Raw genomic sequence first — 25,499 nt, 5'->3', positions numbered from 1 at the left:
AATGGTGTGAACCCAGGAGGCGGAGCTTACAGTGAGCCAAGATAGCGCCACTGCACTTCAGCCCGGGTGACAAAGCGAGACTCCGTCTCAAAAAAACAAAAAAAAGACTGTTTTCTACTAGGAACAGAATTAAACTAACTGTTCCCTGGTAACAGCTATTTCCAAGAATAGGACGGAACTCCCAACATTAAATTATATAAATTCTTAGATAATAAAACCCCATATCATAATTCCTAAAAACTCACTAAGAGTTTTAGGGTATGTTCATGGGAGAAGGGGTTTACAATGTGTGACTGACTGCACAAATGGCTACAAACTCTTTCCTTCTCTGCATCTTACTCTTTGCAACATAATGCTGTAGGTCCTTCCAATCAAGAGTAGAAATCTGTTTCTCTACCCCTTGAATCTGGGCTGATCTTGTGATCAGCTCTGACTAACAGAATGAGGCAGCAGTGATGCTGTGCAGTTTCCACACCCAGACCTCAACAGACCTTGCCACTTCCACTCTCACTGATCTTGGGACCCACACAGCCACCACTACCATGTGAAGAAGCCAAAGTCAGCCTGATGGCTGATGAGAGATGCATGGCCCAGCTGTCCTCTGTCTGCCTGGCCAACAGCCTGCCAATGGTTAGACTGTAAGTGAGACCACTGTAGACTGTCCAGCTACCAGTCAACCTTCTAGCCAACTGCAGATGCACAAGTGAGCCAGCAGAGATCAGCTGAGCTCATCCAGACCAGAATCTGCTCGACCAATCCACAGAATGGGGAGCCAAATAAATAGTGCGTGTTTTAAGCCACTATATTTTGGGGGGTTTGTTACGTAGCAGTAGATAATTGATATATTATGTGAGTAGAAAAGAATGAGAACAGAGAAAGTAAAGAGGAAAAAGAACACAGAATTATCTTTTAGTCTGTAAATGTTAAAATATCAATGAGGTCTTTCATGTGAGACAGTACTGTCTTTCATGTCAAAAGAATACAACTATCTCATGAAAGTAAATGGGAAAACACTGAAGAAATCCCTTCCTGCTGATGGACTTGGTATTCTTCAAACTGTTTACCACTGCCTGATGTTATCCTCATTCCTCTTCCCCCTTAGAATATAATAAGGTCTTAAGTCAGGGACTTTGTTAACTTCCTAGAACTTGGCAGAACACAGGTGCTGGATGAAGGGATGGATGAAAGAAAGGATGCAGAGAAACTGCAGATGTAGGTTGAGATTGGGGTCTGCTGACAGATCTAGCTCAATCTAGAACACCTCTATGAAGTTTGATTCTGAGTGCTATTTAGAGGTGGAAGGAGCCCTGAGTCTCTATGGAACATGCCTCAGCACCTCGATTTTGAGGGCAAATGAGGCTGCTCAGGACTTCAAGAGGATCCACAGAACCACGATCAACTTTGAAATGAACCTACCATTGTTAAGACATTCACTTTTGGGTATAATAAAGAAGGAAAACAACAACAAAACCTACATTAACCTAGCTGTTTTACTCTATCTCTTGGTACTCACCCTCCCCACCCTCCATTTCATTTATTTATTTATCTTTGCTTTTACACAAAGAATTACAACAATAAAGTGAAAAATTGGTCTGAGTATGTTTTCAGCTACTTTCTGCATGAATAGGCCTTAGCTATTGAAAATGTTTCAAGAAACACATTGCTTAATATAGGCCTATTATTTTAGTTACAACTAGAGATAAAATTACCTCTGAAGTTTACTTGTACCAAAATTAATTATTTATTCCAATAAAAAAACCATAACTGGTGAAGGTTGGGGGAGAAGGTCCAGGAAGAAAGGATTCTAGAAAAGCAAAGAGACCTGCTTCTAACTACAAATTAACTGCTCAGGAGTCATTATGTTGTGTCCTGTAGTACACCTTTCACAGTCTCTGTAGCCTGTAGCCCTATTTAATTTGATTCTAGTCCTTCAGGTGTTAGAGGAGTCATCCCCAAAAGCCTAGCACGAATCACTAAGAAAGAACATCTATTTTTACCATGTGCTCATTGACTACTGACAGAACACCTTTTTTTTTAGTATTTATTCCACTGTTTTTTAAGTAAAATATAAATATGAAACACAGCTATGTATTATGACTTTCTTTGAGATAAATGAGACAAATACTGATTATCAAAGCAGAGGTGAAAAAAATTGGACAGGATAAAATATACATGTGCCTTAGAACCAGACAGATCTGGCTCAGCCACTAACTACTGACCTTGAGCAAGTGACTTGCCTAACTAAGCCTCAGTTTCTTCATGTGTAAAATAGAGACAACAGAAGAACTTACCCTGGAGGACTGTTGTGAGGACTAAAGGAAAAACGCACATAACTACTTCTTGAAACATTACCCTGTCTATGCTATGCACTATAGTTGACAAATACATAAATATTCCATTCAATCACTGTTTAACAACATAACCCAAAAACCTACCTTTTGCATACAGAGCATCAACGATATCCAGAAAAGGATCTAGAAAACCAACTACTCCTCAAATACATATACAAAAATTACTTTATACCAATCTCATTCAAAACTAAGCTTCACAAAGAAAAAAAATTTTCTTATTTTTTTCCACAGTGCCTTAACACTCTAAACTCTAGGTAGTGCCTATCTAACACCTTCCCAACCCAGCCTCCCACTCCACTTGGCTGGAAGAGCCCCAGTTTGGTTCTGGTCTTTACTCTCCCTTTGCTCAGGTAGATGACCCTACCTTCCTCTGCCCTAAGAGTGAATCAGAATGGCATCAGCTTCTAAGCCACAATGCTGGAAGCCAGAACAATCAGCAATGACTCAAAATGCTGAAGGAAAATGATTTCCAACTGGGAATCCTACCCCACCAGATTCGCAATCAAGTTTGAGGGAGGAGAATAAAGACAATTTTAAAGGTGTTAAAAACATATTAATTATCTCACAGTTTTACAGGTCAGAAGTCTGAAATGTGTTTCACTGTGCTAAGATCAAGGTGTCAATAGGACTGCGTGCCTTCCACAGGTTCTAGGAGAGAATCTGTCTCCTTGCTTTTTCCAGCTTCTGGAAGCTGCCTGTATTTCTTGGCTATGAGTTCTTCATCTTTAAAGTCAGCAGTATAGCATCTTCCAGTCTCTCCCCGATGCTTACCCTTCTGCCTCCCTCTTCTAAGGACCTTTATGGTTACAATGGAGCCACCCAGATAACCCAAGACAATCTCCCTATCTCAAGGCAATTTAATCACATCTGCCAAGTCCTTTTTGATACGTAAGGTAACATATCCTAAAGAATCCAGAGATTAGAATGTGGACCTCTTTGTGGGGCCATTATAGTCTACCATTCAAGTTCTCAAAATTTTTTTACCTCCTGTGCATTTCTTCTCACTGGGTTGGTAGTATCCAAGACACAGGCAGAAGAAATACAAATCTTCTCATGAGTAAATATATTTTAAATGAAGACTCAATCAATTTGTACAAAGTGCCAAGAACGTAAGTACAGTCTTCAAATTATAAAACACCCATGAGATGAGAAAATAGCCACCATTAGCAAGAAATATAGAAACAAAAACCGTAGTCAGATCAATAAAGACTACAGACACTGGAATTATCAGTTTTGAGGTATAAAATAAGAATATTTAACATGCTTAAATAAGATAGTTGAAAATATGAAGTTATAAGGAACTATCAAAATTAACCAGGTATATTTAAAAAAGAACCAAATAAAATTTCTAGAAAATAAACCTGTAATATGAAATTGAAGTTTAAAAACTTTTAAAAGGGGCTAAACAGTAGACTAGTCACAGCTAAGGAATTAGTGAATGAAGGCAGATGAAGAAATTATGCAGAAAATGGCAGAAAGACAATACAATGAAAGATCTGCAAGAGAGGTTAAGAGACTTAGAGCATAGAGAAAGTATAATACACATATAATCAGAGTTCCATAAAAAGATAAATAGATAAAATGCAGAAAGGAAAAATTCAAAGAGATTGTGACTAGAAATTTTTTAGAATTTATTAAAGACATCAACCTTAAGACTCAGGAGGTCCAATGAAATTACAAGCAGATGCAACAAGGGATAATCTATAATTAAATAGTATATAAAATGCCAAACACCAAAGGCATAAAGAAGATCCGAAAAGCAGCCAGAGAGAAGCGACAGATTACCTACAGGGAAACAATGAGAATGTCAGCTGATTTTTCCACAGCTCTTCTCTTTATTAATTCTATCTGTTTATGTTGGGTTTAATTTGCTCTTCTTTTTCTAGTTTCTTCAGACAGAAGCCTAGATCATCAATTTTAGAGCTTTATTTTTTTCTAATATAAACAGTTAATGCTACAAATCTTCAAAGCACTTCTTTAGCTATATCTCACAAATTTTGATATGTTATTTTCACTCAGTTCAAAATATTTTCTAATTTTTCTTGTGACTTCTTGTTTTACTCATGGGTTGTTCAATTTTGAAATATTTGAGACTTTCCAGGTATCTTTCTGTTGATTTCTGTTTAATTCCATTGTGGCCAGAGAACGTACTCTATATGATTCCAACCCTTTTAAATTTAATGAGAATTGTTTTATGAACCAGAATATGGTCTATATTTGGTTAATTTTCATGTGTACTTAAAAAGAGTAAGAATTCTGCGCTTGATGGAAGGAGTGTTTTATAAATGTCTATTAGCTCAAACTGGTTTCACTGTTAAGTCTTCCGCATCTTTTTTGATTTTCTGTAAACCTGTTCTACCAACTGCTGAGAAAGGAGTGTTGAAACCTCCAACTATGATTGTGAATATGTCAATTTCTCCTTTCAATTCTCTTAGTTTTACTTCACTTACTTTCAAGCTCTATTATTAGAAGTATAAATATTTAGGATTATGTCTTCTTCATGAGTAGATCACTTTGTCATCATAAAAAGTCTGTCTTTATCCCTGGTTCTATTTCTTGTTCTGAAGCCTATTCTGATATTATTACCACCCAGATTTCTCTTGATTAGTGTTAATGTAGCATATCATTTCCATCCTTTTACTGTTTAAAAAATGTGGTAAAATATATATAACATAAAAATTAGCATCTTTACCATTTTAAAGTGTACAGCTTAGTAGTGTTAAGTGCATTTACATCCTTGTGCAACCAATCTCTACGATATTTTCATCCTGCAAAAACTGAAACTGTACCAATTAAACAACTCCCTATTCTTCCTTCCCCAACAACTACCACTCTACTTTCTGTCTCTATGAACTGGACCACTGTAGGGTATGGGATATTAGTAGAATCACATAGTATGTCTTTCTGTGGCTGGCTTATTTCACTTGGCATATCTTCAAGATTCATCCATGTTGTAGCATGTGTCAGAATTTCTTTCCTTTTAAAGACAGAATAATATTCCATTGTGTATATATATACCACATTCTATTTATCCACTTGTATACTGATGGACTCTTGGGTTGCTTCTGTATTTTGGCTCTTGTGAATAATACTGCTATGAACATGGATGTACAAATATCTCTTCAAGACTCTGCTTTCAATTTCATCCTTGTATTAATATTTTTAACCTACCTGGATCTTTTTATTTAAAGTGGTTTATTGCAGACAGCATATGATTGGTTCTTGCTTTTCTATCCAATTTGTCCATCTCCACCTTTTATTGGCACACTCAGCCCATTTATAGTAATACAATCATCAGTCTGGTTGAGTTTAAATCTACCACTTCATTATTTGTGTTCTATTTGCCCCATCTACCCTTTGCTCATTTTCCCCTCCTTTCCTGCTCACTTTTGGATTAACTGAGTATTTTGAAATGATTACATTAAAGTTTCTTGTTGAAACCTCCAACTATGATTGTAAATACGTCAATTTTTCCTTCCAATTCTCTCAGTTTTACTTATTTTCAAGCTCTACTATTACAAGTATAAACATTTAGGATTATGTCTTCTTTGTAAGTAGATCGCTTTATCATCATAAAAAGTCCCTCTATCTCTGGTTCTATTTCTTGTTCTGATGCCAACGTTGATATTATTACCATCCGCATTTACCATTTTCCATGTTGTAGCATATGTCAGAATTTTGTTCTTATCAGTATTGCCATTCGGAGATAGAGCTTGTTAGCTGTATCTATCTCTTTTATTTTTTTCAGTGTTTGCTCTAGAATTTGCAGCATATATCTTTAACTTACCACAGTCTACCTTCAAATTATAATTTCATGGATAATATAAGGACCTTACAACAGTATTCTTCCATCCTTCCACCCCATCCTTTGTACTACTGTTGTCATACATTTTACTTCCACATGTTATAGCCTCATAAAATGCTGTCATTATTTTTGCTGTAAAGAGTCAATTTTTTTTTTTTTGAGATGGAGTCTCACTCTGTTGCCCAGGCTGGAGTGCAGTGGCGCGATCTTGGCTCACTGCAATGTCCGCTTCTGTGGTTTAAGCAATTCTCCTGTCTTGGCCTCCCAAGTAGCTGGGATTACAGGCGCCTGCCACCATGCCCAACTAATCTTTGTATTTTTAGGAGAGATGGGGTTTTGCCACGTTGGCCAGGCTGGTTTCGAACTCCTGACCTCAGGTGATCCACCCACCTCAGCCTCCCAAAGTGCTAGGATTACAGGCGTTGAGTCACTGCGCCCAGCAATTTTCGCTATTGCTTTCTGTGTGTTTATGTTTTTCATTAAATTTACTAAAAATTTCACTATTTCTTTACATATTTTTTTCTCTCCCTTTTTCTTCTCGGATTCTAATTAGATTGCTTGATATTGTCCGGTGGCTCACTGAAGCTCTGTTCACTTTCTTTTTTTTCTTTTTTTCTTTTTTGAGACAGAGTCTCGCTCTGTTGCCCAGGCTGGAGTACAGTGGCATGATCTCAGCTCACTGCAACCTCTGCCTCCCAGGTTCAAGTGATTTTCTTGCCTCAGCCTCCTGAGTAACTGGGACTACAGGCACGTGCCACCATGCCCAACTAATTTTTTGTATTTTTAGTAGAGATGGGTTTTCACCGTGTTAGGCTCTGTTCACTTTCACCCCGCCATCTGTCTTTCTCTTTGAGCTTCATTTTGGATAGTTTCTATTGCTATGTCTTCAAGTTGATTGACCTTTTTTTTTTGCAGTATCTAATCTGTTGTTAACACCATCCAATTTTTTTTTATTTCCAGAAGTTCCATTTTGGTCTGTTTTAGATATCTATTTCTTTCCTCATTGGGTTCAAGCTTTCCTTTACATCTTTAAGTTTACTAATAAGATTGATAATACTCATTTTAAGGTCTTTGTTTATGAATCCCATCATTTCCATCCATTCTGAATTTGTTTCTGATTGATTTCTCCTGATTTTTTATTGTAATTAATTATTAAATTATTATTTTTTTAAATCTATCCATCCATCCATCCATCCATCCATCCATCCATCCATCCATCCTTCCTTCCTTCTTTCCACCCATCTATTTATTTGAGATAGGGTCTCACTATATTGCCCAGGCTGGTCTTACACTCTTGGGCTCAAGCAATCCTCCCACTTAGGCTTTCAAGTAGCTGGGACTACAGGTACACACCACTATATCTGGCTTATGTGTTTTATTTTTTGGTTTCTTTTTATGCCTGATAGTTGTTTTTTTTTTTTTGAGATGGAGTCTCACTCTGTCACCCAGGCTGGAGTGCCAGTGGTGTGATCTCGGCTTACTGCAACCTCTGCCTCCCAGGTTCAAGTGATTCTCCTGCCTCAGCCTCCTGAGTAGCTGGGATTACAGGTGTGCACCACCACACCTGGCTAATTTTTGTATTTTTAGTAGAGATAGGGTTTCACCATGTTGGTCAAGTTGGTCTCGAACTCCTGACCTCGTGATCCACCCGCCTTGGCCTCCCTAAGTGCTGGGATTACAGGCGTGAGCCACCGCACCAGGCCATGCCTGGTAGTTTTTGATTGGTGCCAGACATTGTAAATTGTACATTGTTGGGTGATGAATTTTGTTGTAGCATAAAGCGTGTTGGATTTTGTTGTAAAATGCAACTAAATTACTTTTGGATTAGTTTGATTCTTTAAAGGCTTCCTTTTAAGCTTTGTTATGGTGGGTCCATAGCATCCTTTATTCTGGTACTAATTTAACCCATTTAGGTATGACCATTTTGAGAACCCCAACCAATACCCTGTGTATTATAAGTCTCTCTACTCTGGCTCTTAGGAACACAAACTAGTCCCTCACCTGTGTGAGCACCAGGCATTGTGCAACCTACTGCATTTCAGGTAGTTCTTCCCCTGGTTTCAGAGAGTGTTCTCCTATGTGTATACAACTCTGTAATCAGACAAAGACTCAAGGGGACCCCGCTCCAAATCTCTGAAGTGCTCGTGCTCATCCTAGCACGCTCTCTCTATGGTTCCTTCTTTGGTACTCAGCCTCATAAATCTTAGCCTCCTTGACCTCCCCAAATTCTGATTTCCGCCTTCTCAATTGAGTGAGACAGCTGGGCCCAGTTTCCATTTTCCCCACCTACACTGCAGTGTGGAAACTGCTTCAAGGCAGTACACTGGGGCAATAACACGGCTCACATTGTCTGTTTCCTTTCTTTTGGGGATGACAGTGCTGCATAATTTGTGTTCCACTGTCTTGAAAACCACAGTTTCTTTTTCTTTTTTCTGGTTTGTTTTCAGCAAAAAAGCAACTTCCATAGTGCTTCAAGGGCGGAATAAAAATGTTCCAATGCTTTTTTAGATGCTATGCCTATGTGTATGTAACTTTCATGTCTTCATTTACAACCATATTCCTGTTCACAACCCAAATTAGTAGACTGAGGTATCTGACATATATTATGTAATGTGAGAGAGAGACAGACAGATAGAACAGGAACAAGTAATGAGCCTGATGCTGTGGTAGAGAACATGCTATCTAGACACCTGGGTTCTAGCCCCAGTTCTGTCACTAACTGGGTGTGTGCTTTTAGTAATTTAACATCACAATGCCTTAGTTTCCTCACCACATATAACAACTATGGAATAAGACTATGGGTACTTTTCCCACAAAACACTGTTACTCTCTTTATTTCCTCTTAAATCCATTCCCACCAGCTAACACCTTTTTAGGACAAAGCTATAACTGGCCAAATTCTTTAGCATGCTTTCTACCCCAGAAAAATCAAACTGAACTAAGCTATGGAATTTTTGCCAAGCCACAGTTATAATTAAAATACTACAGCCAAAACACACAAAGCTAGATTATATGCTAACTTCCAAATAAAACCTGTTTCTCTTCTGTACTTTCTACAAGTAGAAACCAAAACCATTCCTTGTTCATCAAGCCTATTAATTATTCAGATAAATGCTTACTTTCCATTTTTTCTAAAGAATCCACAGAAAATAATTTTGGTTTTATTATCAATACTAAGAATACCAACTTTTCCTTGCTAATTTCTTATCTTAGAGTACCTCAATACAGAAAGAATCTCCTTCATTAGATTCATTTCCTTGGGCAATTAAAGAATCTTTTACTGACAAAGCCATTTCCTAATTCTGCTTGAGGCAAGGAAGCTACATGGTTAGTAAACAATTTATGTTATTGGTGGTTTCATGGAAATCTTTACTCAAGCAGATTCTTCACCACATATTTTCCTGTGGTCTTCCTAGGCCAGCCCTTTAATTCCTCACTCCCACTCTCTCTTTGTCTCTGTCTGTCTGTCTCTGTCTCTGTCTCTCATAGCTCAGTATTCTTTTCCACACCCAAGGAAGTGACAGAGCACCAAGCTGTAGGGAACAGTGCAGTGGGCAGAATCGCAATCAGCCATTACCTGGTGAGATCCAGAAGGCAGACTCTTTACAAGACCCTCAGTGTCGGAGGGGGACTTCCGAGGAGCCTGCTTAACTGGTGACAAACTCTCTGATGTACTGCAGCTGATGAATTGGCAATTTGAAGAACAAATGTAAAAAATAATAATAATAAATAAATAGAAACAAAAATATAGAAATGCAACTGACGGCAAGATGAAGCAACAGATATATAAAAACAAAAGACAACATAACAATGGGTGTCAAAATGATCACATGTTTTTAAACTATTTTCTATACCTGACACTCACTCATTCTTCTAAGTCAATGAACTCATCACTGGGGGAGGCACAGAAACAAATATGGTACAACCTCTTCAACCCAGTTTACAAAAATCATATTGGAATTCTAGTTACAATACACATTTATCCTTTTGCTGTTTGTCTTTTCCCCCTGCCATCAACCCTCCTTTGGGATAAAGGTTTAAGGGAACAAGCTCTATGGTACCTTTTATTAGCTTAATGGCAATTCACTTTTGTTATAATCAAAGGCAAACCTCTTCTGAATGTATGTTTTAAATTACAGATATATATCCAGGCAAGTCTTGGCTTATCTTGTTCTCTCCATATTTTTATTCCCTACCAATACCACAATCAAATCCCCCCAAAAACTCAGGAAGTCATGAATGAGAAATTAGGGAATGCCAGGTCACACAGGCTGAACCTTTTCACGGTGACAGTAGTCTTTAACAACAAGCACTATCTCATAAATGAATCAGGGAAAGTGAATGCCAGGAAGTAAGAAAGCTGGGGTACAGCGTAGGGATTTTCCAATGAGATGTGTCATCAGTACAGCTTAAAGCCTTTTGATATATACTTTTAAAACTTAGGAGTTTGGGGAGAATCACATTTAAAGTGTCATTACTAAGACCAAAGCATACCATGCATTCTGCAAACTGTTCCTTCTGTGAAATGGGAGGCTACATGCTCTGAACCAAAATGGTTTAATTATTCTAATACATAATCAGTCAGGATCTTAAATATTGATAACATAATACATATATGAAAAAAGAAAACTAATGCACACACACACATACACAATGGCATTTTACATGAAGAGCACAAATATTCAGATGTGCATAAAAACTCTATGTAACTTCACAATCCAATTTCATCCAGATAGTATGCTCAACATGTTTCCAATACAAACATGTGACATATTCATGGACAAATCATAATAGCTGTTGGGTTAGCTCAGAGCTAGCTGGTTAGTCATCAACAAGGGAGAGGGGCTGAATACATACACAGGAATATTAACAGTAATGGGCAATGTGATTAGTTACCATGTGTCTAGTGGGAGTGGAAGAGGAGACCCAGCCCTGTTATAGTCCCAATGTGTCTTCTATGTCAGCTTTTCTTAAGAAGTGGAAGATAAGCAGGATCTGATCCCAGCACACCAAGGTAGAAAAGGTAGAGGAGGAGGAAAAAAACCAAGGTAAGAAGAACAGCAGCATTCATGATGCCATGCAGGAGTCTAAGGAACTCTTTCCTGCCCCTCATTAACCCCGAAGCAAGAACTACAAAGACCGGCATGTCACCACCCTGGATTAGTCTCATGTTGAAACCAATAGTCCAACTATATTTAATCATAAAACACTCACCATGCAAGGGGGGCAGATACAGTCAGCAGAATAGAAGCATTCCAAGCAAGTAATATCTGAATTTGAACACTCAAACTTGTTAAAACACAGCACTCCTAAAAACTCTAGATCAGCAGAGCCCATAGATAGAGGTTCCCACCATCCACCAGCAAGAGAGTTCAGGACATGCAATCCTTTCACATCAGAGTCCCTTCAGGATGGCTAAAGTTAGATCTGTGCATCTGCAACACTGCTCATGCTATATCAACTTGAATCCAGCCTCTGCTCCCAGTCTTACCACATGAGTTCTACATAGCTTATATGGGTTAGCTTTCCAGCTGGAGTGGGGAAAAGAGAAGGTCCTTTAATTAGATACACACCCTATGCTTAAACGTGTTCCATCTGAGAAGCCATAAACAAAAAGAAAGTCTATTTTTCTTTATTGCTGATATATTTTGTCATCAATTCTTATTATCCCATTTTGGGTGAATCTAGCTAAGAATGATCAAAGCAATAAAGCTACTTAAGCTTGGAGTGGGGTAGGGGAACTACAAAAAGGAAAAGCCCTGCACCATCATCACACTGGGCTGGGGGAGGTAGTTTATTAAAACCACTGCTTTTTCTTCTTCTTTCTTTCTTTCTTTTTTTTTTTTTTTAAAGAGACAGGATCTTGCTATGTTGCCTAGGCTAGATTCAAACGCCTCGGCTCAAGCAATCCTCCTGCCACAGCCTAAGTAGCTGGGACTTACAGGCACATGCCACTAATTCCAGCTCACAACTTCTTAATTAGGGTTTTATATTTCCTAACTGGAAAGAACCACCTTGTGAGTTTATTAGCAAGAAATTGAAATTAAACTCTTAAATTGGGTAAGTGATGTCTTAAGAATACTAATTGCATAGTGGATGGTATTGAAACACAGAGCACAGACTGCTGAGCAGCTCATCTCACCAAACCTAAGAAGGAAACTGGAACAGAGATTAGAATCATATTCCACATTTAATAGCAGGCCCACTGATTTCCACTTGCCCATGTTAGAACACCTCCTAAGGAGACTGCCTGATTCTGACATGAAAGAAAATAGTAGTTAATTCTTTAAAATCCTTTTTTCATTAAATACAGAAGTTTCTATAAACCCTGATTCCCTCCCTCCACCCCTGCCCTAAAAAAACAGTGTTTCTTACCCAGTGTAATCCCGTTTAGAGTTTTTCCTTCTATAGAGGACAGCCAGAATCATGCTGATGAGCAGAGTGAGACCTAGGACCACAGCAGTAACTATGCCCACCACTACCCAAACTGGAAACACAGGCAAATTCTCTAGAGAGAAAGAACAAAATAGTTTTAAGGTACATTGCTACAGAGAGAAAACATGGAATTTTATTAAATTAACGAGCAAGTATCTTCATTTAGCAGTTACCGTACCCTCTTTTATTATCCAAACTATGAGATCCTACTATCTATCCTATTACTATGTAATTCATGACATGTGAATATTAGATGAGAAAGAATGAACTATGGAACTAAGCATTTCTACACCTACAATCCCTCTCAGTGCTCTAAAGAAAAACCGGAGGTGTGAATTTACCTGGATCTACTCTCCAACAAAACAGACTTTGTCTCAAAAATGAGACACCAGAACCTGCATTTCCTGTTTGTTCTCAAAATCAAAAGGAAGAAATAACTGTGCTGTTGTTGAAAGCTTTCTCCTGGAGAATATAAAACAGTATGAATCTCCTTCTTTCCCACTGCCCATCACATCCAAACATAATGAATTTGGTCTTTCTTCTAATTAACACTGAAAAATTCATACTCCTGAAATTAGACCAATAGGCACCAGACGGTAGGAATAAAAATGGAGAAATCAGCCACTCTGGGTCAGAATGAGCAACAAGTTTCCCAGCTCCAAGTGTGTTTGGTAGAGCCACAGGTTCGTGGCAACAGGGAGCACAACTGTATGGCAAAAATCCTCCCTCCAAACCCACCATGAAATGCAACTCATGTTTTCCAACCAAACATGAGATAAAGGAGACTGCATTATTACTGCCAAAATACTCAAGGAAGTACCTTTTTCTACGACATAGAGCCTAATGTGTCCAGGCTGGACAACGATGTCAGGAGGGTTTTTGACATCACAGATATAGGTGCCATTGTGTATAAACTGCATATTTTCTATGTTGATTGATGCATCTTTCTTGTCAAGGTCTCCAGCCCAGCTGATTCTGTCTTTAAATGGTGGATAATTCCCAAGGTACACTTGCCCTTGGGAGTAGTGGAAAAACTGCAATTAGAAAAAAGGAACACATGAACTATTCTCAAAGGCAGAATTCCTAAACTCTGTAATGTGCATGCTATGAAAGGTTCTTTTAAAGACTTCATACGGAAAGAAATGCAACATCTCTCTCCCTCTCCCTCTCCCCCTCTCTCTCCTCCTTTTTTCGGTCTCCCTCTGTTGCTGAGGCTGGACTGTACTGCCGTGATCTTGGCTCGCTGCAACCTCCCTGCCTCGGGCTCCTGTGATTCTCCTGCCTCGGGCTGCCGACTGCCTGGGATTGCAGGCACGTGCGGCCACGCCTGACTGGTTTTTGTATTTTTGGTGGAGAGGGGTTTTGCCGTGTTGACCGGGCTGGCCTCCAGCTCCTGACCTGGAGTGTTCTGCCTGCCTCAGCCTCCCAAGGTGCTGGGTTTGCAGATGGAGTCTTGCTCACTCAATGCTCAATGCTGCCCAGGCTGGAGTGCAGTGGTGTGATCTCGGCTCGCTGCAACCTCCACCTCCCAGCCACCTGCCTTGGTCTCCCAAAGTACTAAGATTACAGCCTCTGCCCAGCTGCCACCCCATCTAGGAAGTGAGGAGCGTCTCTGCCTGGCCGCCCATCCTCTGGGATGTGAGGAGCCCCTCTGCCCGGCCACCCTGTCTGGGAAGTGAGGAGCGCCTCTGCCCGGCCACCACCCCGTCTGGGAAGTGAGGAGCGCCTCTGCCTGGCCGCTGTGCAATCTTCCAAGTGTGAAGTGACAGCCTTTCTGCACGTGTACCCAACAGCTCCGAAGAGACAGCGACCATTGAGAACGGGCCATGATGACGATGGCGGTTTTGTCAAAAAGAAAAGGGGGAAATGTGGGGAAAAGAAAGAGAGATCAGATTGTTACTGTGTCTGTGTAGAAAGAAGTAGACATAGGAGACTCCATTTTGTTCTGTACTAAGAAAAATTCTTCTGCCTTGGGATGCTGTTAATCTATAAACCTTACCCCCAACCCCATGCTCTCTGAAACATGTGCTGTGTCAACTCAGGGTGAAATGGATTAAGGGCGGTGCAAGATGTGCTTTGTTAAACAGATGCTTGAAGGCAGCATACTCGTTAAGAGTCATCACCACTCCCTAATCTCAAGTACCCAGGGACACAAACACTGCGGAAGGCCGCAGGGACCTCTGCCTAGGAAAACCAGAGACCTTTGTTCACGTGTTGACCTTCTCTCCACTATTATCCTATGACCCTGCCACATCCCCCTCTCCGAGAAACACCCAAGAATGATCAATTAAAAAAAAAAAAAAAAAGAAATGCAACATCATATTACAAATCACAAGTTATGGAATCTAAGCCAGACAGAAGTTTAGAGATCACGGCACTCAACCCTGCCAGGTTTCAATGGAAGAATCAGACTCATATATCACCTCTAATCCTCTCAATATTTCATTGATATAATTATTACCACCCATAATTTTATAAAAGACAAAATGGAGACTTAAGAGAAGCCATTTTCCCAAGGTACCAATGATAGTAAATTGGGGACCCAGAGTAAAATTTAGGCCCATCTGAGTCTTCAAAGCCAATGTTCTTCCAGTAACACCATGATTGAGCCCAGTGATTCCCAAGGCTTCAGAAAGCTTAGTGTTGAGTTAGCTTACCACTAAGATACACAGAAGCACAAAGGAGAAGAATCCTAAATATCTCAGATCAGCTAATCTGAGTTTCGCCCTCTTCCTTCTGGTTTCCTATGGAAAAGTCATGGGTGTGTGAAAGGAACAAAGCCCAGATAACACAAGATACTCTTGCCGGCTTTTGAAAGTTCAGCCTTTAGCCCCTTTCTCTTTCCACTCCTCAGTCTCTCCTCAGTCCTGCTTTCAGCAAAGGAACTGTCTTCTCAAAGTAAACCTTGTCAAACTCAGCACCTGGAAGCAGGGTTAAGGCCCAGTGGGAGGGGATCTATCCTCACACTTGGCTCTAATCCAAGCAGCTATGCTGGAGGCCTGATGTCTTTGTTCTGGTTAATGGACGGGGTGATGGTGGAGCTGGGGATAGAAACCAGCTCTATTAGCAATTCAAACAGAACATTTTCAGAACCCTTTGAGCACGGTGAAAACCCCAGTGCAGACTCATCCATTCCTATGATTTAATGATCATCTAGATTTTCTTAACTCCCAAACCTCTCTCTCCATCAATAGCGTCCCCTAAGCTCTAGACTCCTTGCCTACTCACTTTACCACCTGGCTGCCCCTCTCCCCCAAGCTTGTCACCCTCTCTTACAAACTTCATCTTCCCCTCTTCATGTATCGTGTCTTCACTGATGGCTACTGTTTCTTTCCAAAACCATAAATCTTGAAGTCATCCTTGATTCTCTTTCTTCCTATCCAGTTAATCCCCCAATATTGTCAATGTCTCATTAGTTTCTCTCAGTTCTCTCTTCTCTCTATTCGGTTCCCACTGACAATATCTGTTTTTATGTTTTCATCATCTTGGACTATGGCCTCTTAACTGGTATGTCTAACTCATCATCTTCCACAATGCCTAAATGATCACTGATAAAGAATAATGGTTATTATTATAACATTTATCAAATATTTACCCTGCATTTCATATGACCTAAATGCTTGTTAAGAACCGTGAAGGGTCTGAGATTTTACCCTACTTACAAGCTAACAAAGTTAGTTGGCCACAGGTTCATAGGTGCTGACAGAAGACACGGACTCCTGTGAAATCTTCACTCCCATGAAGAAGACTCAGAAACAAAGAACCTTATGAGCAGAAAGCATGTGTTTGTTTCTCTTGCCCCGCAAGTCCCATAGCCATGACATGGAGGGGCTCACATGGATGTTGTGCAGGCAGAGGCGTTGCATCACAGCCGAGGAACCCCAAGCTCAGGGAACACTATTCTCTTACAAGGGGCAGAAGACATGTCTGACTTCAGCCCTGAAAGGAGACACTACCTTTACTATACTCAAGAATACACAAATTTGTCCTTTGCTCCAGAGGGTAACATCATCTCTGCCTTCCAAAGCTAGTTACTGTATAAAAAAAGTCCAGAACAAAGGCAGCCAGTGCCTTTGCTAGCAAGGTGTGCAAAAACGTGAAAGACCCATAGAAAACTGTCTCCCAACAACTCTCTAGCCCTCACAACCACCCTGCAAGGTGAGATTCGCCTACCTGATATTTCATAAATAGGGAATGTGAGGCTCAGGAAACCTTGGTGACTTTCCCAAAGTCACAGGTTTTAGAGATGGAATTCAAACTCAGCTCTGATTTCAAAGCTTATGCTATTTCCAATGTTTAAGGCCTCTCAGGTGAGATCATGTCTTATCTGTTCAAAGTTCTTCACTCTCTCTTCTTCACTAGAAAATGAACCATAAACTCTCAGCTTTGCAAATGAATCCTTCCATCACCTGCTCTCTGCCTTCCCTTCCCACAACATCTCCACATATTCCCTGCCTTGCATTTCTGAACCAGCGGGGATGAGCTACATGATGCTGTTTCTCAGCACTGGGTCTGAGACAGCTCCCTCAGTCAGGCTCCCTCATTGAATGGGGGCCATTTGAAGGCAGAGGATAAGATGTATTTATCTCTGTACTCCTTAGCACTTTGGACACAGCAGGAACTACATAGTTTGCTGAATCAAACTGAGGAATAACGTCTTGGTCAAACCAGTGAGAGATGGAAATAAAACAGTGAAAAATTCACAGAAAAGACTAGAATCATTATCAATCAATATTTTTAAAGTACAAGCCATGGTGCTAAAGCTATGAGGTATACTAAAGATGTAAGACAGGCAAGTCCTCTTAAAACACCCATATTCAGGAAGAAGAGGAAAACTGTCATATTAAGGGATCTGTATTATAGGAATGGCCCAGATAAGGGTAGTGAGTTTTAAGGGCTAAAAGGTTAAAAAAAAAAAAAGAGGCATTATGGAGGAGACAGAGGGTAAAAATGGGGTACAGCTTAAATGACAAGTGTTCAGAAGTAGGAAAACAAAGCACAAAGCATTTTTACTAAACTGGAAGTGATGCCATAAGAGAACAGAAGTGAGGCTAAAGTGGTAGGCTGGGCCAAATTGTAATGAGCTTTTAATTCTAGACAAATGTTGTCCACAATGGGAATCTAGGTTCCTGATAACCTGCAGTGGCAAGGTGAAAGAGCTGTTCTAAGACTATGCACCTGCTGGCATATGAGGGTTGGATTGAAAGATGAGAAAAACAGAAGCAGAAGAATAACAAGGGGCTACTGCACAAGACCAGGCACACAGTTAACATTGCTCAATAGACAGCAGAGACACAGGAAGGCTGACAAAAAGCTAGACACCAGAAACAAAGTAGGAAGAACCAGCAAAGGTTCTTATTTCTTGGGGGCAGAAGGGAAGTGGTAAGGGACAGGGAAGGAAAGGACAGAAAACACAAAACAAAACAAAACAAAACAAAACAAAACAAAACAAAATGATTACAAAACTCATCTGCAGATGAACACAATTAACCTAAAAAAAAAAAAAAAAAAAAAAAGCAGAAAAGGGAAACAGAAGGGAGAAAAAATGAGTTCAGTTTCAGACATGTGGATCCCAAGGCCATGGGCCAAAAAAGCCATCCACAGTATGGCTTTTGAATATACTGGGTTTGAATATACTTTTCCTGTAAAACCTATAAAAACAAAAAAGCAACCCACTCATCTTATTAAATGTGTCCCGACATTTTGGAATTAAAGGATCCTATGTCAATAACTGAACATGCTGGGATTAACTGCAATCAGACTCGTGTGTAAGTATAAATTGATTAGCTAAAAATATTAATCAGAATTACAGCATGTTCTTAATATTAAGTTTTGAGTTATGTAAACCTTCATGGACCTACACGACAAGACTGTTTCCAGCATAAATGGAACCGCTCTTTAAAAGAAAGTTATTACCTCTGGGTGGCTCTCACACCCACTCTTGCAGAAGACTTCAGTGGGAAATCTTTAAATGTTTAAATAGTTCTTTGGACTCTCTTGAGTAAACTTATGTGTTTAATCTTGCCTCTATGGGAACATTAGTGTATGTTCTATGCTGATGCCATATTTACGTGAAGCAGAGAATGCCTCTTTATGTCTTTCCATGGTATCTGTATGGATTCCTGTGCTCACCCTTATGGCTACTGTAAGGGAAGGCCTCTCTTATAAAGACCTCTAGACTATGCATTCTCCATAGGGGAGATTCTCCCCCAAGGGAGCAAACACTGGCTCTTGGGTGGGAAGCTTTGAGAAAATCTTTCTCTTTTATATGTAAAACAGTTGCAGAGGATATCTACAATATTAAAATTTCATGGAAGGGGGCAGAGATTAAGAAAAATGTGAAAAGGCTCCTTTTAAAAATAAATTTTAAAAAATACTGAGAAGCACTGCCTTAGGTAATCCCTAAAACCTATGAGGCCGTAAATATTATTAGCAGATTTTTCTACCTGAGAGAGAAATAATACATAAGGGAAATCATACCGTATTGAAGTTTAAACAATTCTAACCTGTGTGGTATGGCCACAGGTGAATAACTCTTGAGTCAGTGTCTCCCATCCTCCCCACCCTGTCTTCCTCATAGAGCTGTGAAGATTAAATGGCATAGGCATATGATGGGCCCAACATCTAGGTGGTGATCAACAATGTAACTCACCATTCAGAAGAAGAATTGGGCATTCTTAAAGATAGATGACAGACTGTCCTTGCTAAACACTGACAACCTGAAACATGCAACAGTACTAAAATATGTGCCAATATATGAAGGGCATTCCACATGCTGGGAGAGCAACAGTAACAACAAATGGTGTATTTTAGTAACTCAAGAGCTAGACACTCTCCTGAGCACTTATCTTGAATAATCTTACTTTATCCTCCTAACACCCTTGTGTGGGAGGTTTTATCGTCTCCATTTTACAGACCAGAACCAAGATAGTCAGTTCATGTTTAATAACCAGCACTCCACTAGTTACTAAATAACCTTTTTTCAATGCTCTGGTGCTGTATTTCTGTTACATCCTTTATCTTACTCCAAAGTCATCTATATATCAGCCTTCCTCCTAATCATCTCTAGGTGAGAGCAAGGATTCTGTTTTAGACATTTTTGAAGGCCCTACATAACCCACTACATAGTAAGCTCCCAAATCAATATTGCTAAATCAGATGGACTATACGCTAAATTAAAAAAAGATAATCAAATCAGAAGATGCATACATATATATATAAAATTTGATAATACATAAAACAAATATCAATAAATATGGGGCAATAAAAGATGAAAAGATGCAGGATAAATCCTGATTAGAGTCAGTGTGGTCAATTAAGATCAATTTCAGAATGGGATTTGATGGTGGAGAGGAACTGATCAAAGACAAGGAAACCAGACGCATTTAAGAGATGCTGAACTTATTTTATCCTGAAGCAAAAGAAGGGCCTTGAAGTCTATAACAGATAAAAAATACACTCATTTTGGAAATGAACCATCAGAAAAATGGATCACCAATTATACAGCAGTAAAGAAACCTGTGAGGCAGGACTAGCCAAGAGAAGTCAAGCATTCTTACCGACACAGTAGTGTCGGCCCCCTCTGGCTGGAAGCTCCAGGAGACTGAGGTCAACCCGCCAGTCGTACTAGTAGACTTGAACTTGCAGGTCAGCTTCCCTTGTGTACCATTTGCCACGAAGATTTCTTTTGGCGTATATACTTCCAAGGCTGATACTCCAGCTGTCACTGAAGAGAAAGGAATAAGGGTAGTTGAAAGTAGGACTTAACATGAATACCACTGTGCATTTTTGCCAGACAAGAAAAGATACAGCAAAGTTACTAGATATATACAGTAATTCACTGCCATTACATATTTCTGGCAGAATATTCTACAGCTAAGTTCAATCAGAATAGCACTATAAACAGAATAATTGCTGACAGTTTAGGTTTGTATTGCTTTTTAGTTAAGATATTTTTATTAGTCTGGTTATATTGAATTTTTTTTTTAAACTAATAGACTTTTTAAAGAGCAGTTTCAGGTTTACAGAAACATTGAATAGAAGGTAGAATTCTCATATTCCCTCACTCTCCCATGGCCAACCTGTTTCTCCTATTATTAACATCTGGCATTAGTGTTATACGTTTGTTTTAATTGATGAGCCAATATGGTTACATCATTGTTAACCACAGTCCATAGTTTACATTAGGATTTGTGTTAGTGTTGTAGATCTTATGGATTTTGACAAAGGTGAATAGTGACGTCTCCACCATTACAGTATCATACAGAATAGTTTCACTCCCTAAGCATCCCCTGTGCTACACCAATTTATTCCTGCCGTCCTTCCCCCCACACCCCTGGCAAACACTGACCTTATACTGTCTCTATAGGTTTGCCTTTTCTAGAATGTTATCTAGTTAAAATTATACAGCATGTAGCCTTTTAAGGTTGCCTTCTTTCACTTAGTAATATGCACTTAACTTTCTTCCGTGTCTTTTTGTGGCATAATATCTCATTTCTTTTTATTGCTGAATAATATACAAATTGTATGGATGTACCACAGTTTATTCATTCACCTACTGAAGGACTTCTTGGTGGCTTCCCTGATGGTCTATTTTTAATGAGGTGATGGGCATATTTTTATTTCTTTAAGTAGTTCTCATGCTTATCTGTTACGCAATTGTTATCACACTGAACTTTTCTCATCATCCATATGTAATGCAATTAAAACTATCCTAAGATATAACTTCATTTTAAAGCCACATTTATTATTTAACTGATCCTTTTCTTATAAAGAACTTAAGGAAGAAAAATGCATGTTTTGGTTTTGTTAGTGCAATCATACCTACCATAAGATTTCACTGTGCTAGGTAAGTAAACAGCTGATTACACCGTATATCACATTTTCATTTCACCCATCAAGTTTTGTCAGTTAGCCTAAGCCCAGGAAATAGTAATTGAAATGTGTCTACCACTTAGAATATAAAAATGGCTCTTTTTTCAAGATCTGCAATAGTAGGCAACTGCAGGAATTGTTAAGGATTGCTGTTAAAAGTATTTGCCAAATTCTTAAAGATTGCTAATTTGAACATACTGCTATAAAAGAAATGCTTTCACAGACAAAATGAAAGTCAGAAAAAAAAAACTTATTTGGCCCAAAATTGGTAACTTAAAAATACCCATCTTCCATATTTTTTAAAGAAATCGTTTGGAATAAATATCTGCAGTGTTGCAATAATTCTTAGAATGTAACAGACGGGCAGAATAAGGAAGAGTATTGTCAGCCAGGACTGATGGTCATTTTCAGAATTTTTTCTCCTTGAAGACTTAACTGACTCTCAGCCAAGGAGAACAAGAGTACTCCCCCATTCCTCCCAACCATCTTGCAAATGTTTATTCTCAGGACATAATGGGCACTTTTGGCTATTCTTTTAAATAAACTGATAGCCATACTGCATCAAGCAGATTTTTTTTTCTGCGAAAGAGGGTGGATTATTATTACAGGGAACAATAGATTATTATTTGCGGTCCAAACCTCAAAACAAGCATTTCTTTCAGAGGAGATGCAAACAAAAGAGTTCCTTGCTATTGTGGGTACGCAGAAAAGCAGCCCCAGGGCACTTGAGTTCAAAATGAAGGACAAAGCACAAGACTAGACTAGTGGACCAGCTTATTCCAGGAAGCAGCACTGGCTTGCAACCCTTATTCACTCTGTGTGATTTTGACTAGTTTTCTCCATGGTGATGAGTACTGGAAAGCCACAGTCTCTAAAAGTCTATAAATAAAGTTTCTCAAGGATTTTCTTTTCTTTCTTTCTTTTTTTTTTTTTTGAGACCGAGTCTCAATCTTGTCACTCAGGCTGGAGTGCAGTGTTGCAACCTCCGCCTCCTGGGTTCAAGCAATTCTCCTGCCTCAGCCTCCCGAGTAGCTGGGATTACAGACACCCACCACGACGCCCAGCTAATTTTTGTATTTTTAGTAGAGACGGGGTTTCACCATGTTGCCCAGGCTGGTCTCGAACTCCTGACCTCAGGTGATTCACCAGCCCCGGCCCCCCCAAAGTGCTGGGATTACAGGCGTGAGCCACCGCACCCAGCCTTCTTCAAGGATTTTCTTAAACCAGATCCCTTCCTCGAGGCCTAGCTGCAAGACTTGTCATCCCGAGACATTATTTAAAGATGGAATTAGACCAAGTGTCCAAGTTTACAGTCACAGAATTTTGAGCAAAAAGACTAACCAAATTCCCAAATGGCTTTTAGGCATCTATTTAAGACACAGATTTCATTATACCAAAGTTAGGTAATAAACAGGTGGCTTTTTAAAAAACACACAACACTCTTTGGCTAATCTGAACGTGTAGCTCTTAGCCAGGATTATGAAATCCAAAGCTAGCCCATCAGCTAGCTCAAGAAAAAGAAAATGATGCCACACACTGAGAAATTAACTTCCTCCCATCCCTGGCTATCTACACTTTTCTCTAATACTACTCTTGTCATCATTTTTGGAGATTTCATCAGTTGTAAGATAAACCTTCTAAAACCCTAGTCTGTTTATCTTCTCCAATAATCTGGGTAAGATCAGGCCTACCCCAGCCACTCATTTCTATGGTCATACCTGTTCAATCAAGTTTAGCCTAAAGCTGCCTCCTTACATATTTTAAGTTCAGCCTAAGGGTTTTTCTGTACACTGTGAACTATAACAAGTGTAGGTGTAAACAGGCCGTAGCCAATCACCTTGGGCCAAGCACCGAGTTTTGGCCAATCAAATGTAGCCAACTGTTCAAATTGTGTTCAAGTAAGGCAAATGCTGAGCTATAATCAATGCAGCTGTTTCTGTACCTCACTCCCGTTTTCTGTACATCACTTTCCTTTTTCTGTCCATAAATCTTCTTCCGCCACGTGGCTGCGCTGGCGTCTCTGAGCCTACCTTGGCTCAGAAGGCTGCCCAATTCGCAGTTCATTCTTTGTTCAGTTAAACTCCTTTAAATTTAATTCAGCTGAAGTTTTTCTTTTATACCCTAAACCAGGGCTTCTCAACCTCAGCACTACTGACAACTGCCACAGACAATCCTTTGTTGTGGGAAACTGTGCTATACCTTGTAGGATGTTGAGCAGCACCCCTGGCCTCTACTAGATGACAGCAGTATCTCCTCTGCCTCCAGTTGTGACAACCAAAAATGTCTCCAGACATTGCAAATGCCTCCTCAGAGGTGAAATCCCCCCAGTTGAGAATCACTAGCTCTAGACCCAATCATCAGTACCTGCACCCACTCCAGAATCGTAGTTTCAGGCTTCTCTACTCCCTAATTGACCACCTCTTAGCTTTCCAATATCCTCCAAAACCCTGAGTTCACTGATCCCTAAGCTGCATCAGAAACTAAAATCCCAGCATGTCTTCATTTGCCTTACTCAGACTAAACCCCATAGGCCACCATTATACTCACCCCCTTGCATACACAATCAGCTCTCTTGCCTCTCCCTTCAGGGCCTTCACCTGGAACCTCTATCCTGGTTAAATTCAATTCTCTATCCACTATGCATCTCCACCAGGGTGGCTGACCACAGCTGGACAAAAGCACACAATCCCACTGACTATTTTCGCCTTAAATGTATGGTCACTAACCTTAAAGGGACTCTTAATGCTGTCTAGCAATCCACCCACATTGCCCTAATCCATCTGCTTTCCATTTCCCTAGAGGACTAGTTTAAACCTTCCTCTCTAACCTCAAATTTCCACTTCCTCTGGTTTCTCACTCCCAGCTAATGACTGAGCTGCTTATTTCACCGAGAAAACAGAAGCAATGAGAAGAGAACCTCCCTATGTCCAGACACCATAGCTACCCACCTCCCTGCATCTGTGCCCATTCTGCTTTCCCTGCACTCCTATGTAGAAAGTGTCTGTCTGCATCCCTCTCCAGGATGAACCTCTCCACTGCACATTGCATCTCATCTCTTGCCTACCTAAGGACATTTATTGATCCAGCAATTCTCCCTCTTCTGAATTTTTCACTCACTACTGAATTACCACCAGCAGCAATATAAACATACATATTTATATTTATATCCCAGGTTTAGAGAAAAAAAACCTTGACCCTGCATCTCCCTGCAGCTCTGGCCCCTTTGTCCTCCTTTATTTTATCAATCTTGAAAGAACTGTCTGTACACACTGTGTCCAATTTCTCTCCTCTTCTGTTCTCTTGGATAAATCCAATTTAGGCTTTCATCTCCGTTACTCCATAGAAACTGTTTTTGTTAAGGAATGCAATGACCTCCATGGTTAATTCTCAAATCTTGTCTTATTGCCCTATCTAAAACCTTTGAAAGTTACTCCCTGCTAAAACCTTTTTTTTTGTTTTTTAACAGTTTGGCTTTTGGAATGCCTCTCCCTCTTGATTCTCTTATCTCATTGACTGCTCCTTCCCTGGTTCTCCTGACCTCTATATGATTAAGAGCCCAGATCATTTCTCTGACTGCGTATCTATTTAACATTCCTTCTCTTGGTGACCTCACTCAGTTTCAAATGCTGATGACACCTGTACACACACACACACACACACACACACACACACACACACACACACACAGCCTATTCAACTTTGCTTGGATGTAATTGGCATCATCTCAAATTTAATATGTCCAAATTAAACTCCTGATTCCCACCCCCCAAACTTCCTTTCCATGGTCTTCTCCAAATCAGTAAATGGTAACACCAGTTTTCTAGTGGCTGAGACCAAAACCCTGGACTGTTTTGTGACTCCTCTCTTTTGCACAACTTTCCTCCAAGCTGTCAGCTACACATGTCATCTCTACTTAGAAACCTATCTAGAGGGGCCGGGTGCGGTGGCTCACGTTTGTAATCCCAGCACTTTGGGAGGCCAAAGTGGGCGGAACACCGAGGTCAGGAGATCAAGACCATCCTGGCTAACATGGT

The 25,499-nt window shown here is 39.8% G+C and overlaps 1 protein-coding gene across 4 annotated transcripts in view, besides 2 other annotated features; it reads right to left on the bottom strand.

The window, feature by feature from the left end:
* Positions 1–25,499, bottom strand: part of MPZL1 (myelin protein zero like 1) — a 69,938-nt gene that overhangs the window by 6,020 nt on the left and 38,419 nt on the right. For 2 of the 4 annotated variants that reach the window (XM_047433610.1, NM_003953.6), the window contains 4 exons: positions 20,151–20,317; positions 13,412–13,625; positions 12,532–12,664; positions 9,734–9,836 (listed from right to left, as the gene is read on the bottom strand). In XM_047433610.1, the coding sequence (XP_047289566.1) occupies positions 9,734–9,836; positions 12,532–12,664; positions 13,412–13,511 (336 nt within the window). In that variant the 5' untranslated portion in view covers positions 13,512–13,625; positions 20,151–20,317. The remainder of the gene's footprint in view (positions 1–9,733; positions 9,837–12,531; positions 12,665–13,411; positions 13,626–20,150; positions 20,318–25,499) is intronic. The other 2 variants (NM_024569.5, NM_001146191.2) reach the window with 2 other exon arrangements.
* Positions 13,893–14,394: an enhancer, noted in NCBI's record as "H3K4me1 hESC enhancer chr1:167740743-167741244 (GRCh37/hg19 assembly coordinates)". NCBI's record gives its function as "activates a minimal SCP1, AML or CMV promoter by ChIP-STARR-seq in primed H9 embryonic stem cells {active_cell/tissue: H9 hESC(primed)}" and the evidence as "EXISTENCE:reporter gene assay evidence [ECO:0000049][PMID:30033119]".
* Positions 15,329–15,900: an enhancer, noted in NCBI's record as "OCT4-NANOG hESC enhancer chr1:167739237-167739808 (GRCh37/hg19 assembly coordinates)". NCBI's record gives its function as "activates a minimal SCP1, AML or CMV promoter by ChIP-STARR-seq in naive H9 embryonic stem cells {active_cell/tissue: H9 hESC(naive)}" and the evidence as "EXISTENCE:reporter gene assay evidence [ECO:0000049][PMID:30033119]".

Source organism: Homo sapiens, chromosome 1 (genome assembly GCF_000001405.40).
Source record: "Homo sapiens chromosome 1, GRCh38.p14 Primary Assembly".
Classification (NCBI taxonomy): domain Eukaryota; kingdom Metazoa; phylum Chordata; class Mammalia; order Primates; family Hominidae; genus Homo; species Homo sapiens.
This window is presented reverse-complemented; position numbering and strand designations above follow the sequence as displayed.